The sequence below is a fragment of the Homo sapiens genome, chromosome 10, assembly GCF_000001405.40.
Source record: "Homo sapiens chromosome 10, GRCh38.p14 Primary Assembly".
In the NCBI taxonomy this organism is placed as follows: domain Eukaryota; kingdom Metazoa; phylum Chordata; class Mammalia; order Primates; family Hominidae; genus Homo; species Homo sapiens.
In genome coordinates, this window is record NC_000010.11 from 131,087,247 (window position 1) to 131,102,663 (window position 15,417).

At 50.7% G+C, this 15,417-nt stretch overlaps 1 protein-coding gene and 1 long non-coding RNA gene across 3 annotated transcripts in view, besides 1 other annotated feature; one reads left to right on the top strand and one right to left on the bottom strand.

Moving 5' to 3' along the window:
- Positions 1–5,144: 5,144 nt before the first annotated feature.
- Positions 5,145–15,417, bottom strand: part of TCERG1L (transcription elongation regulator 1 like) — a 219,331-nt gene continuing 209,058 nt past the window's right edge. For both annotated transcript variants that reach the window (NM_174937.4, XM_047424966.1), the window contains 2 exons: positions 11,060–11,178; positions 5,145–6,072 (listed from right to left, as the gene is read on the bottom strand). In NM_174937.4, coding sequence (NP_777597.2) covers positions 5,916–6,072; positions 11,060–11,178 — 276 coding nt within the window. In that variant the 3' untranslated portion in view covers positions 5,145–5,915. The remainder of the gene's footprint in view (positions 6,073–11,059; positions 11,179–15,417) is intronic.
- TCERG1L-AS1 (TCERG1L antisense RNA 1) lies at positions 7,972–8,531 on the top strand. Its single transcript, NR_120623.1, has 2 exons — positions 7,972–8,053; positions 8,142–8,531. It is a non-coding gene; the product is annotated as a TCERG1L antisense RNA 1 (long non-coding RNA).
- Positions 11,240–11,741: an enhancer, noted in NCBI's record as "H3K4me1 hESC enhancer chr10:132896749-132897250 (GRCh37/hg19 assembly coordinates)". NCBI's record gives its function as "activates a minimal SCP1, AML or CMV promoter by ChIP-STARR-seq in primed H9 embryonic stem cells {active_cell/tissue: H9 hESC(primed)}" and the evidence as "EXISTENCE:reporter gene assay evidence [ECO:0000049][PMID:30033119]".

Consider the following 15,417-nt stretch of genomic DNA (forward strand, 5'->3'; position numbering starts at 1 on the left):
GCACGACTTCATTATGCTGACAGCATTTTACAAATAGGAGTTTTTCACCTGCAACACGCTTCACATTCCTGCAACACGCTTCACATTCTTAATGGAGAAAAGACAAACAAAAAAAAAAAAAAAAAAAAAAAAGAAAAGAAAAGAAAAAAGAAAAAGCAAGTATTTTGGGGGCAATACAATTTCCTCTTATTATTGTTAATGGATTGTTTGAAGCAGATCATTTGAACAAAGCAACAAGAAAATAAACAGTAGCAATAATAAACATTTAGTAAGAAAACAAACAGAACACTGAGTGAACCACGAGAAAGAAATGCGTCCTGACCACCTGTGAAGAAACGGCAGGGGCGTGAGTCCGCGCAGGCTCATCCAGCTCCGTCACTTCACGCTCCTCCTCTGGTCATGACTGCTCAAGGCCAGGAAGGCCCAGGGCCCCCTCATCCTCCCTGTGGGGGCCTCCCCACAGAGCAGGGGGTGCCGGGGAGCGGGTGACCGGCAAGGGGCATGCTCTGACGTGCGGAGGGGCTGGCAGATCTGGCGGCACCAGGAGGAGCTGAGAACTCCCAGGCAGAGAGAGGTGGCCGGGGTGGGGACGGGGTGGGCAGAGAACCCCTGAGCTGAGACCCCAGGGGCAAGTCCGAGAGAAGGGCAGAGTCTGAGAGGAGGATGAAGGAGGAGCGAGGGGAGGGTGGCAGGTGTTAGTGAAAGGCAAGGGCCCCAGGAAGGTGAGAGGTGGGTGGGCCCAGCCAGCCGACAGCCGCAGGAAGCTCTTGGGCTCTGGAGCTTGGAGGGAAGCTTCTGTCCCGTGACTAGGGCCAGCGACTGCCTCTCCTTCCGCTCTCTTGCTGGTCCTAAGTGGGATTCAGTGACTTCTGATGGACACGCTAATAGAATATTTTAGTTTCCTGCTAAATCCTAAGAGGTTATTATCAAGATCATCCAAGTTATGTTAGTGGCATTTAAAATGAAAGTGTAACATGGAAAAATGAAATTACAACCTAATACTGTTTTTCTATAATATCTTAAATACATACTGAAACTAAAAAGGTTACTTATATCTACAGCCCCCAAAGTAGGAGACCATTGGAAATGCACTCCCTATAGACACCACGTGGGGTTTCAGAGCTCGTTTTCTCCCTGAACACGTCCCTAATTACACCCGCGTTCCGCCTTCATCTCCACGGCATTGCGATGGGCCCACAGATGGGCGTGCAGGTAGATACAACCATAAGCGTGGAGATAGCTCCATCACTCAGGTAGCCAAGACTTTCAATCATTTAAGTCTCTTAGATTCATAATCATGGCTGTATGAACTAACATACAAGGCCCCCGAATATTTGGATGAAAAGCAAAAATACCTGGGAGTTTTCCTCCAGGCCGGGGGCACTCGTGTCTCCCTAAGCACTGAGAGAGACGGATCCTTCCGCGTTCATGAAAACAGCTAGATGGCGCCCTCCCCGTGCGCTCACGCTGACGTCATTTCCGGTGTCCCTGTGTCTCGGCGTGAGCATTCGATAATTACCATCCGGGCGACAATGGAAATGATGGCGGGGAAGGGGTCACGGCCCTGATGGCCCACAGATGGCCACTCGCTAGAGGTGACGGAGGAGGGCTTACCAGAGTGTGACCCCGAACACTGGAGCCGAGCTGAGGGAAGTCAGGGAGGGCAGAGTACCTGGGAAAAGCCACCGCAGATGCTGCTTCTGGCCCAGGCCTGAAGGAGCGGGAAAGGCCGCTGTTGCCAAAGTCCATGTGAGCTGTGGCTGTAGGAACAGCTCCCTGACCAGAGCTGTGGCCTTGGGCAAAGGAATCAATGTGGGCAGGCAGCAGGGGAGAGGGGGAACTGACACCCCAAACTCTCTCCCCGCCCCCCTGCCCCACTGTTTCCTGCCGCTGCCTCCCATTGACAGAACCAGCCAAGAGCAGGAAGGAAGAGAGCCCAGAGCCGCGACGTGGGAGACTTGGGGGCCACAGGGCGGGGCAGAACCCCCTGGGAGAGGATCTTTGGGGACGAATAGAAACTATGGTGCTCGGGCCCCTCACCCCGCAGCGCACTCACAGGCATTGGTGAGGATGGGCCCCAGCCCCAACGTGGGAGAATCCATGGAGGCGACACCGCACGGTCCCCAGCAGAGACCCGGGGCAGTGGGCCGAGTGAGATAACGGGGGAGAGGAAGGGGGAGACGTGATCCACGGAAAAGCTCAGCTGCTCGGGTCTTATTTCCAGAGACAGCCGTGAGCCCTCAGACAAGAATCACTGCTTCCACCTCCGTCTCAGGCTCCTTTTACCCAAAACCACGTGATGGGTGAGCCAAGCTTGCTTTTCTGTGGGTTCCAAGTCTTCTCCACTCCTGACTTTCTGAGTTGATGAGTTTCCTGCCGACCAGTGCCAAGCATTGAGTGGTACTGAAGATGCCCAGCAAATCCCCCAGGGTCCAGTCATGGTTCTCCGAGTCCTCATTATGTGGAAGTGGGAGAACTCGCCCCAGCCAGTAGAGCGGCCACCTTCTCCACCTCCTGCTTCAGAGCCAGGAGGGGTCCGCATAGCAGGAAGCTGCCACAGCCTCCAACTGAGCAGAACCAAGATGGTGAGCGAACTCTGCTCTTGGGCAACAAGCTGTTCACACTCACCAGCTCGGGGCTGTGGGGATGGACATAAAGATTCCCTAAGGAGGTTACTGAGTCGAATGACCGAAGGGGCCACTCCCACCTCCCCTCGTTGCACCTGGTTCCAGGGGAGATGCAGCCTCTTGCAGGCTGCTGGGCTCAGGCGGGCACCATAACCCGCAGGCACCAGACCCTCAGGCGGCACCGCATCCAGGCCATCGCAGGTCATTCCAGACTTCATCAAGGCAGCTGCTGTGGGGGTGGGCACATGGGAACACCACTGAGTCGGGTGGCTCTGAGCTCATTGTTGCAACGGCTTTCACTTGCAATGAATCCCTTGGTTAACAAGACATCCTGCGGGCAGCCCTGGAGATGGAGGCCATCCTGCAGGAATCGGGTCGTGATCATGGTAGAAGTGCTTCAGGCCGGGAAGGAACATCTGCCTCTGGGGAGGTAATCGAATGAGAAGAAATTGCTTCCTCATTAATGAGACAATTCCACATGATCAACCCAGCAAAGGGGCCATCGATGAGACTGAACATTGGCCTTTTGTGGCAGTAGCTCCACCCTCTCCCTGAGCAATTCTCCTAAAGCCCATGCAGACCCTGCATCCCTGCCCTGTGGTCACTTTGAAGTTGGCCCAGTGGGTAAGAATCAGGGTAGTGAGGGAAAGACACGGGCTGATGGCCCAGGACCATTGTCTTCTCCCCTGGTATTAGAGCGTGCCTGGTGAAGGGGGTCTCCCAAGCACATGGGACCTGAAGATCGCTGCACTCTGCACCCATCCCAACAATTCCCAGATCTCCTCATCTCTTGCTTGAAGTAGACACTCAGTAAACCCAGCCCATAAGCTGGTGCTCCCCTTTCACAGACAGGAGGGTAAGGTTTACAAAGTGGTGGCTTCTACAGCCAGAGGCCACTCACTGAGACTCCTCCTTCACAATGGCCATCAGTACCACTCCGGACCAGGCCATGACTGGTGTCTGGAGCCAGCAGAGCTGGGGGCTCCCCCATGAGTCCTAGCAAGCACCTTCCCTCCTCTGTCAGCGGGGGACCAGGAGCTCAGCAGGAGGCAGCACTGTGGGCAGGGGCGGGGCTGGGACCAGAAGCTCAGCAGGAGGCAGCACTGTGGGCAGGGGCAGGGCTGGGACCAGGAGCTCAGCAGTAGGCAGTACTGTGGGCAGGGGTGGGGCTGGGACCAGGAATTGAGTCTCCCTGGACTGGTCAGGGCCTGCTTTGCCCATGCTGTGTCCACTGTAAGTGAAATGCTGCTGTGCACCTGTGGTTTCGTGTAGGGTGGATCCGACAGCAGTCCAGGGGCCACGCAGGTTGTAGTCCCTGGGTATTCTGTGCTCGGGTTGTCAGCCTGTACCAGGGCAAGAAGCCAGCAGCAGCGGCTTTGCAAATGGATCACAGTGGGTGGCAGGAGAGGGCACTGCCTTCCTGCAAAACCCACAGGGTCCCCAGAAGCTCCTCCCTTTCAATCCTGCAGCCCCGCCCTAACAGGTGCCAGCAGCACTCAGCGCCTGCAGCTTCCCCCACCCCGACATCCCTCCCTGGTGGCTCTGGGCAGAGTCCTCCTAATGAGACACACTTACTGTCCGCAGCACCCCAGGGTGGGGTTTCCAGCAAGTCCCATCGCACAGCATTTCAATTACACGTCTCCTTGCGCCAAGCCACAGCTATGCCTTCTTCAAAGGGCTGCAGCCCTCCGCCCTGGTGGAGAGGCCTTTTCCTTGGATGCTCTCTGGAGCCCTGGGGGCGCTGGCTGCTGCTGTCACCTGCTATCCCTATGCTATTCAGTGATCTGAACTCAGCAGCCTCCAGACTCCCATCCCCTGGGGTAGTCATCCATTGATAGATCCATTAATAGATCCCTGTTCAAATCACAGGGAAGTCTCGCTTTCCTGACAGCCCCTCGCTGATCCACAATCGGCACTTGCTCCTCCGGAGTCTGGCTCTGACAGCACCGTCACAGGTCCTTCCAACTCCACAGGTCATGGCCAGGTAGGAGGGCAGCTCGTGTCAAAAATGGCCTGAGCTGAGCGACGGCCCTGGAACCCCCAGGGGCCACCCAACACGGAAGGTGAGGTGTTAACAGCGACAGTGTCGGGACCAGGGCTGAGCTCAGTGGAGAGTGGATCCCACCTTGCCCAATTACATCCTAATAAGTGTGGAAAAAAGTGTTCTCATGGGAACTAATTAAGAAGAAGGTAGGTGAGGAGGCTGTGTCACTGTTTACTAGGGGACAAAGACATTGTATCTGAACAGAGAACTCCATAAATCTTGAAATAAATGAATGGATGTTTAATAGTTTAAGGAATGCAATTAATTAGTGAAGGTTTTGCCAAACGTGGTTCCACCCAGGACTACTAAGTATGTTGAAAAGTGAGATTCTGTGTGAGTGGCATTTTCATGGCCCTTATTGCAATCATCGGGATTTTTTTTCTCCCTGAATCTTTCAAAACTGGGTATCTTTAGTTGAAACACAATGTTGCTGCTTAAGATCATGGGGAATGTCTTAGTCACACATACACACACTGGTTTAAAATATTTATTGATTAAAAAAAATTAAAAATTTTTTATACAAAGGTGATGAGAAAAAATCTCATGCAAACTCCGGGCATACAATAAAAATAACTCAAATATTAATATGATGATTTTGTACAAAATAATTCTTTTGAAGTAGGACCGGTGGCAACCAACACGGCTCCCTGCTCCAGGCCGGGACGCCCCTCTGGGAGGAACGCGCGGCCACCCTTGGAAACCTGTAAGTGATCCACGGTCCAGGTGTGGAATGCTCACAGTTGTCACTATGATGAATGATGAAAACCCTATTGCTGCTACTCAGAAACGAGACTGAGACCTAGGGACAGAGTAAGGAATTCCTCAACACTGCGGGAATCCTGGAGAAACGAAGTAATTCACAAAGGTTTTCAGAAAAGTTTTCGCCAATCGTCTTAGGTGATGACACAAATGCCTTGAGATTGTTACAGAGGCTCCCGTTCCTGCTTCCCCACAGTCCTGCAGTGGATTGATAATTTGTGTATATTACAAGTAATTTGCATAATTAAAACAATTAAGGGATCGACGTATCACGGTGATTAGAAATGCATCAAACTCTGAATGTACAAAAGAGAGAGCTTCAATATGAAACAGTAATCCTCTGAGAACGAAGACCCCGCAGTGCCGGTGCCCGCTGGGCCGTGCAGGTCTCGGCCGCCCCACGCCCGTGTCCGTCTCCACCGTGACCCCCTCGCCCCCGGCACGCCCAGGGTCAACCCCCGGGCTTATTGCATTTTTTCACAAACTCATCTCATTTTCCGCAGCCTTAGTCTGTTTTCCTTGTCCCGTTTCTTAAGAATAAGTATGAATTGGTTGAAAAAATGCTCCTGGTCCTTTCTTTTTTGAACAAGTCGGAACCTCTGATCCCGGCCGTATTTCTCTGCAAACTCCTTAAACGTGGTCCTGAAAAAGAAAGAGTTTCCTGAGACACCTTCCAGAGAGCAACTCTGGCCTCCCCAGAGATCCTGCAGCGGCACCGCCTGAGCAAGCATCCAGCCCTTCCACCAGGCCTGGCCGTGGGTGGCAGGGCACCCGGTGGGTGAGCGGCTCTGACCAGCCGTGCCTGCTCCTCACCCGGGTCCTGCAGGGCCCTGACCCACCCTCACTTGCAGGACCCCCTTGTCTCTCCTCTGAGTGGTCTCCGGAAATGAGCGGCCCCCACCAGCCTCCTCAGCCGTCTCATGCAGCTGTCACTCCCCCAGCCGCCCCGATCACAGCTTTGCTGGCCAGGTCTCCTCCGCCCCTCCCTTGCTGCCACCAGGCTCTGCCTGCCACGGTCTTTCTTACACTGTTCCCTCTGCCTGGTACACCCTTCCCTTGTTTCTTCCCCCAGTTAGAGCTGCTCGTCATGAGAAACCAGGCCAGGGGGTCTTCTTTGGGAAACTCGCCCTATCTAGAGGCTCAGAGAACTGTGACTCCATCACAGCCCTCTTCACAGTGGTGATCTTGTTAAACCTCACTTGCGGAACTGGACTCCCACATTCGAATGAGGGAGACATTATCTGCTTCGTTCTCCAATAAATGCCCTGAATGTCCAGCCCAGTGCCTGGCAAGTAGTGAGCCCCAAACACTGATGGAGCGAATCAGAGCTGCCAGGCCAGGTGGTGCCCCGTAAGAAAATGCGAGCGACCCAGCCTAGAGCAGCAAGGCTGTTCTCAAGGCTACGGCAGCTTAGAGGGCAAAACAGGATGCGCCTCTGCTGTGACCAACTGACCTTCGCAGGCACCGGGCCCCGCAACTTCCTGTTCTCTTAGCCTTGAACTTGAAGCCAGGGACAGGGACAGAGGTAGAGGGACCAAGGCCTGGAGCCGCTGGCCTATGCAGATGCACTCGCTTGTCCAGCGACAGTCGGGCAGGGCCTGGCCTGGGCAGTGTGCTCTGGGGTGCACGGAAAATGTGGACATTCTTTGTCCGGGGGATTCTTCTTATTCCCTCCCACTTCTCCTTACAGAGAATTTTACACTTCCTTGCAGACACGGAATTATTGTGTTAAATTATTATAACTTAATAGCTTCTGAAATATACAAACAACAAGATTATGCCGACATGGCTGTTAGAAGACAAGACAAATAATTAGCAGACTCATGCTCATTTCTGTCATTGAACAATTCGTCTCATTCCTTCCCCAAGGCGCTGCCGTTTTCCTGCTCTCCGTCTGTGGGGGTGCTTGTTTACACATCTCTCGCAAGAAAAGCGCTTCTCTCTGGCTTCCCTCTTCCTCCCTCCCTCCTTCCTGCCCTCTCCCCTGCCTTCCCTTCCTCCTTCCTTCTCTCCCTCCCTCCTTTTCTCCCGGTTCCTTTCTTCCTTCTCTCCCTCCTTCCCCCTTCCTTCCTTTACTGATGTAACCACCTTGGTGTACCTTGGCTAAGCCACACTCCACCCCGACCTGCGGGGGATGAGTCAAACGGTCAGACTTGCCTGGGCTTGTTCCACGCTCCCCTGGCTAGACAGGCATCTACACATTCTCAGTTAGGGGCTGGACAGGGGCAGCTGCTAGACAGGCCCTATTCTGGGCCTCTCTGAAAAGAAGAGTCCCTGAAAAGAAAGGGAGCCTCCCGCTTCCGTGGCCCCTTAGCCATGCCAAGGGGCAGCAACCGGCTTTCTGCTGATGCTGATGAGCTGTGGTGTGAACTCACGAAGGTCAGCTGATTCACAGGCCCTGGATCTCTGCTCTCCCTCTGCTAAGTGGGACTCGGGCCAGCCTGCCATGAAGGAGGCGGCTGCTGCAGCTCTCAGGAAGGAACACTGGGCGGCTAACCCCACCGGGCGGCCAACCCCACCGGGTGTCAACCCCACCGGGCGGCCAACCCCACCGGACGGCCAACCCCACCGGGCGTCAACCCCACCGGGCGGCCAACCCCACCTGGCTAGGACCCAGTCCCCGGTAGCTGCTCTCCCGAGAGGCGGGCAGGGCTGGGGCTAGGGGCTGTCCAGGAGTGTTCTGGACTGTCCCGTCGCCACCATTCCCACAGGCTGCTCAGGACCGAGGCTGAGACGGGCGACCAGGACGGGACTGTATGGCTGCAGGAGGCTACACAGCCTCAGGAGGCTGCTTCTAAGAGGCCCACGTCGCCTGCATGGGGACGCGCCTGGCTCTCCAGCATGTGGTCATTTGAATTGTACATGTTTCACTAGGATGCCTACAGAAAAGTATACAGAAGATCTGGAAAAAGTTTTTGAAATGTTGAAAACTTAGCTACTTTTAAAATGAAAAAAATAGCTTTATAATTATCAAAGCAATATATCCCAGTGTAAATTTTAAAATAATTTGCTACATTATAGTAAGCATCTTATCTCTATGTGCCCTATAACATTATGTTGTATAGTTTAAATATATACAATAAAATTTATTTTAAAAAATAGCAGGCAATTAACTCTCATTTTAAAAAGAGTCCGTTTAACTCCCTTCTAATTTCTACCACTCGTTTTCCTTCTGTGTGCGTGTATGTGTGTATGTCATCTTTTTTAAATGGCTCAATGCATTCCGAATATTTTTTCCGTTGTCTTCATGATGTATTCATGGGAAGGGGAGTATGTGGCTTATTGCTGCTAGTTTATCAATAGAGAATGCTGGCCAGATGTCTTTAACAGTAATGATGGTCTCAATAGCAGTAATGACAGCTACCACTTTCGGAGCTCCTCCTGCCTGCCAGGCACCGTCGGGGTCCCTCCCTGCAACTCCTCACGCCATCCTCCTCGTCACTTTCTGAGGTGTGTGTGGTCATCCTCCCATTTGGAGGAGGGCTCGGGAGCACAGGAAGGTCCAATACTTACCCCATGGCCAGGAGAAGATGGGCCAGGGCCAGGCTGTGAACCAAGGCAGAGAAGGGGCTCCAGCACCTTTCCAGAGCCCTTGCCTCCTCCGCCTCTGTCCCAAGGCCACCTGGTGGGTGGACACAGCTAAGCCATGGCTAGAACCCAGCATTCTCATGACTGCTTTAACAATGGAAAATCACAAGTTGCAGGCAACAGGACACACATTTCCTTGTCTACATTAGCACTTGTGATGAAGATAATTCATGCTATTTTTTCCCTATTCAGAAAGTACCTGTCCTTAGAATAGCTAGAGAAGTTTTATGAGGATTGTGTAACTAGCACTAACTTAGGTCACCTAATTCTTGATCAACCAAATCACAGGTCAAACAAAGGGGGCCTATGCCTTCATAGAAAGCATCAATTAATGTCCATTTAAAAACCGATGCAGGCCAGGCGCGGTGGCTCATGCCTGTAATCCCAGCACTTTGGGAGGCCAAGGCGGGTGGATCACAAGATCAGGAGATCCAGACCATCCTGGCTAACATGGTGAAACCCCGTCTCTACTTCTCTACTAAAAATACAAAAATTAGCCGGGTGTGGTGGTGGGCACCTGTAGTCCCAGCTACTTGGCATGTACCCAGGAGGCGGAGCTTGCAGTGAGCCGAGATTGCATCATTGCACTCCAGCCTGGGCAACAGAGCGACTCCATCTCAAAAAAAAAAAAAAAGAAAGAAAAAACTGATTCTGGCTGGGCATGGTGTCTCACGCCTGTAATCCAAGTACTTTGGGAGGTCGAGGTGGGTGGATCACCTGAGGTCAGGAGTTCAAGACCAGCCCGGTCAACATGGTGAAACCCCATCTCTACTAAAAATACAAAAATTAGCTGTGCATGGTAGTGGGTGCCTGTTATCCCAGCTACTTGAGAGGTTGAAGCAGGGAGAATTGCTTGAACCCCGGAGGCAAAGGTTACAGTGAACCAAGATCGTGCCATTGCACCACAGCCTGGGTGACACAGCGAGGGTCTGTCTCAAAAAAAAAAAAAAAAAAAAAAGAAACAAACAAAAAACTGATGCTGCATCTTCCAGTCTAAAATAAAAATACATTGTTAACCATTTTTATGCTTACGAAACTTACAGTTTTATAGTTCTAAAAGTAGTACATGTTCATTACTTTTTATTTATTTCTTTATTCTTTGAGACGGAGACTCACTCTGTCGCCCAGGTTGGAGTGCAGTGGTGCAATCAAGGCTCACTGCAAGCTCCGCCTCCCAGGTTTACGCCATTCTCCTGCCTCAGTCTCCCAAGCAGCTGGGACTACAGGCACCCACCACCACGCCCGGCTAATTTTTTGTATTTTTAGTAGAGACAGGGTTTCACCGTGTTAGCCAGGATGGTCTCGATCTCCTGACCTCGTGATCCACCTGCCTTGGTCTCCCAAAGTGCTGGGATTATAGGCGTGAGCCACCGCGCCCGGCCCATGTTCATTACTTTTTAAAGATCAGTCAATTAAAGCTAATTTTTAAGAAAGAGTTAAGCTTATGTATTCTTCCAATTTCTAACATCTATTTTCTTGTAAGTGTGTCTTATTTCATGGAAATAATGCCTCATTTATTATTTTAGTAAGTTTTGGCAACCTAGTTAACTCAGTTCACTTGTCCGGTGTATCAAATCTTCATTTTACTCTGGGACCAACTGTTAAGACATCTGGAACCAAGGGGTGTGGTAGGGGTTATGGTGCTGTTGTTTGTAGTCAGCTTTGCATTTTTGCTTCTTGATCATTAGATCAGAAACTAGACCTCATCTCATGAGTGCTCACGTATTGATTGGTTATTTGGGTCAGTCAGGGCTGCTGACGTTTGAAATGCATGCAGGGTAGGAATAAAATGGTTGTGATGCATTTGGTTAGCAAATAGCCCACTTTCCCAGGACTGATGAGAGGGACATTTGGAGGCTCATGACAGGCAGCATGATAGAGGGGAGCCAGGCTGGTCTCACTGGCAGGTCTTCAAAGCTCACACTTTCGTGTCTGTGGAAGGCTGGGTTACACGATTTAACAAAAACAAACCTGAAGAGTCCTCTTGTCATTGGTAAGTTCCCAGCCCCAGAAATCATCCGGTATATTTCTCTCTCCATACCTGGGAGACACTTTAGATTCCTCTAGAAGTTTCTTGAATTCTTCTTTGGCTAGCAGCAATTTACTTTTCTTTTCCTTGTATTCTTCTTTTATTCTTGTCTTGACAAACTGTTCAAATATCTTAAAACACAGATACAGAAGAAAAACATCATGAAATTGCATATCAGAAATGAAATCTTGTATTCCAAGCACAACATGAGAAAGCAGCAAGAATCTATGGCAAAAGCTGTTCTTGTTTACAGCTGCTGGAGTTATGAGCAACAGCCTTTCAGCATAGCTCTCAAGGATCCAAGCAGTCTGAATAATTAAACCTGGGTGCCCACACGGCCCGGCATTTCTCTACATGCAGGCGCCATTTCTGGGTCAAACGTGAAGCAGCCCTGCTGGAGAAACCCGGAGAATGACTTGGCTGCCCTCTCTGCAGGCGTCTGGAACCAAGTGGCGGTTTGGAACCCGTGCTGTAGGCTGCAGTGGTCCTCACTGTGCCCTCTGAGCAGCATCTGTAACGCGCGGCCTCCCACTGCCTCATCACGGCCAGTGGCACCAGAACACAGCAGAGCACTTAGTTCGTGCTAGTCACTTCCTAGGGTGACGTAATTGACATTCGAGTCTCCCAAAAATGACCTTAACTTGTGGAAAGAAAGTAAATTCTGCATCTCTGATCCCCACTTGTGAACCTGGGCGTCTGGTGCCTTGGGGAGGACTCAGGGTGCATAAGTGGTCTCTTCTGAGGGGGTCACAGGATGCCAGGCTGCCTGGGTCATCAGTGTGGAAACAACTGGCCAGGAGGCCTGACCCTCGGGCACTGGGCACTCCCATCTGACCAGAAATGCATCTCAAATGCTGCCCCAAACAGGAAAACCCTGCTCCTCAATGGGAGGGACATGCACATCAGCTGGCAGGCAATTCTGGGCAAGGCCCCAGGGCACTTCTCCTGGAACCTGGCAGCCCGCATAACGAGATGCAATCTCTTTGTGACAGGCCACAGAACCTCTTCTCTGTCAGGGTAAGATAGATCATTGTTCTAACCAGCGAAAAATGGTCATTTATAGACTACGGAGTCAAAGAGGGACAAAGTTCTTTCATTCCTAATGCTACCCCAAACTCAAGAACGTTAAAAATAAACTGAAGATAAGTGTTTACGCAAACATAATAAAAATATCAAGAGAAAGTCCACATAGGATCCTATCAGGCCAATAAATAGCAACTGGGCACCAATCCAACCAACGGCCAGGCAGATCCTAGAATGTGACCGAGGACCAAGCAGGCAGCTTCTTCTACACTCATGCCAAATGAGTGGGGATGAGAAAGCAAGGGTGGGCAGGTGAAAGCCTCGACCCCAGCACTGCTCAGCCCCTTCTCCGGAGTGGCTTTCTTCCCACTTTGTCTTATTGTTTCAGATTCCATGTCAGCAGTGGCAAACCTTTACAGGATTATGAATACAAAATGCCACTGGTCCCCTGAAGATACAGCAGCGAAATGAAACATCCACAAATATGACCTAAATTGAGAATATGTGCATGTATATGTAAGTAAGAATATGATTGGCTTCTTTTTTCTTTTCTTTCTTTTTTTTTGAGGCAGAGTCTTGCTCTATTGCCCAGGCTGGAGTGCAATGGCATCACCTTGGCTTACTGCAACCTCTGCCTCCTGGGTTCAAGCAATTCTCCTGCCTCAGCCTCCCAAGTAGCTGGGACTATAGGTGTGTGCCGCCACGCCCAGCTAATTTTTTTTGTACTTTTAGTAGAGACAGGGTTTCACCATGTTGGCCAGCCTGGTTGCGAACTCCTGACCTCAGGTGATCCACCCGCCTCAGCCTTCCAAAGTGCTGGGATTACAGGTGTGAGCCACCACGCCAAGCCATAATTGGCTTCTTATGCCTTCAAGGCAAATAGCAATGTAAGTTCTTAGTTATCTTATATTTAACTAATAAAAAATTAATGCAGGGTTATTATCCAAATAAAAGCATGTGGCTCCATCATTAGCTAGAGTTTTGCTCTATTAATTTTAGACCTAGAGAGAAAGCCTGGCTGGCCGTGGGGTCAGGGCTCTTCAGAAATGCCTGCTTCTCTCTCTCTGCCTAGAACCATTTCTCCATCTCATCAAATGCTTCTCTCTTTCCTCTCCCTTTGCTCTGTTACTTTATTTTATGCTGCTATAATTTAACATCGCAGGTTTTGTTTTTCATCCTTAACAAATTATACCAGCTTCATCCAAAGTGGAGCATGACTTTTCAAAAGAGATTCCACTGGCTGTTATATCATTGCTGTATGTTCTAGCGCAAAAAAACAAAACACTATTTGTTGCCATAGAAACAGGCCTGATTCACACTCCCTCGACCCTGATTCTGTGTAGGATCACCCTCTTCTCCTGTGCAGCTCCCCCGGCAGAGGAAGGGCTGTGATTTTCACACCAGGGGCCTTAGCTTTCCCCATGAAAACGCTGTGTGACACCAGGTCCTGTACAGATTCTATGTCTGATACTTCTAACCCAATTTCTTCCTAAATAGGACTGTGGTCTTTGGATGGGGTCCAGCTATGATTTCTTTCCATCCCATTCCTCATACGAGCTGCCATGCTCCCCTTTGATGAGGTTGCAGGCACTTCTTCTGAGCGCTCTCTGGACCCTCCAGTGCACTGGCTATGGCGTGGCCTGCTTCCTCCTCTTTCCCACTGGACCTTCTGGGACCAAGTTGCAGGACGTTAGGACAGGCCCACAGTTTCCTCTGGGTGATGTCACAGGGACGTTTAAAGGTTTTCCCCAGGCAATGGGTACTTAGCATGAGCTATATTCTCATCTCATCTATTTGCAGAGGACCAGCCCAGGCAGGCCCAACTCCATCAGGGTTGGCATCTGCTGTCTCTGACGATGGCCTGAGGAAGGTCCAGCCTCACAGTGCTCCCTTGGATGAGCCCTGGGTGGGATGCCCATGTCCCCCAGACATCAGGGGACCAGCGCTGCCCTGCCCATGAACCACGTCCATCCAGCAAGCAGACTGGGCCCCTGTGTTCCCAGCTGTTCTAAGAGATGTGCCGTAGCATGTAAACGAGAATATTTGGAAGGGGCTTGATCATAAGTTGGAATTTTCTTTTTGCGGTGAGAATGATCTTACTTATTCAATGTTTTTTAAAGGGACTAACGGCCTCAAAAGGTATCCATGGCACAGAGAGAGAACAACTGGCAACAGCAAACAAGTTGGTGGTGGCACACGTGGCACGTGCCACGCACGCCACACACAACCCACACGCCACACACAGCACACATGCCACACACGCCACACACGCCCCAGATGTACTGATGATTTTAGACACTGCCCGGTTTATGGCTCCTGCCTATGCCCTCCAGTGATTCTGTCACATAAAATCACAGGCTCCTTGTTATGCTTCTCCATAGCTGATTTTCTTTTTTTTTTTGAGATGGAGTTTTGCTCTTGTTGCCCAGGCTGGAGTGCAGTGGCGTGATCTCGGCTCACTGCAACCTCTGCCTCCCGGGTTCAAGTGATTCTCCTGCCTCAGCCTCCTGAGTAACTGGGATTACAAGCAAGCACCATTACACTTGGCTAATTTTTGGCATTTTTAGTAAAGACAGGGTTTTGCCATGTTGTCCAGGCTGGTCTGGAACTCCTGACCTCAGATGATCCGCCCACCTCGGCCTCCCAAAGGGCTGGGATTACAGGCATGAGCCATCATGCCCAGCCCATAGCTGAAATTTTTGATTTTTAAAATTGCAACAAAAGGGTGAAATATGACCAGTTATTAATGTCTATGGTTTTCCTTTGCTATAGGAAAAAATTATATAACACCCAAACTCAGCTAACTCTATTGTAGCATTTTTTGAGGCTGTGATGACACATTTCACATATTTTAAAATATTTCTTTATAGAAAATGAAACTCAGCTAGAAGACAATAAAATATTATTAATTCCAAGTTCTTGAAAGGTTCAAGTTCTGTATTCCAAGGCAGTCAATCCCGGGAACACGTCACACTGCCCGGCCTACCCCTGAGCCTGCTCCAGGGAGAGGGTCCAGTTCCAATGAGCAGAGTGGTGGGTCGAGGGCTGGGAACGGGAGTGAGGACAGAGCGGGAGTTGGTTACAACGAGCAACGCGGGTCCATGTGACTGAGACTCTGTGGGTTCGTGCTTCACTGACACCATCTCAGGCATTTGCTTAAAGGGATTTTATGAGCAGAGGACAGAATTGAAAATAAAATGGCAATTCCCATACCCTCCGTCTGGGGCTTTATCAGACTCTGCTGGTGTGAGAAATCCAGTGGACACCAACATGGGGGCCCCTGGTCACAGAACCCCTCCTCCCCTAATTAACTCTGGCTCTTCTGTTTTCAGCGGCTCTTCTTGATA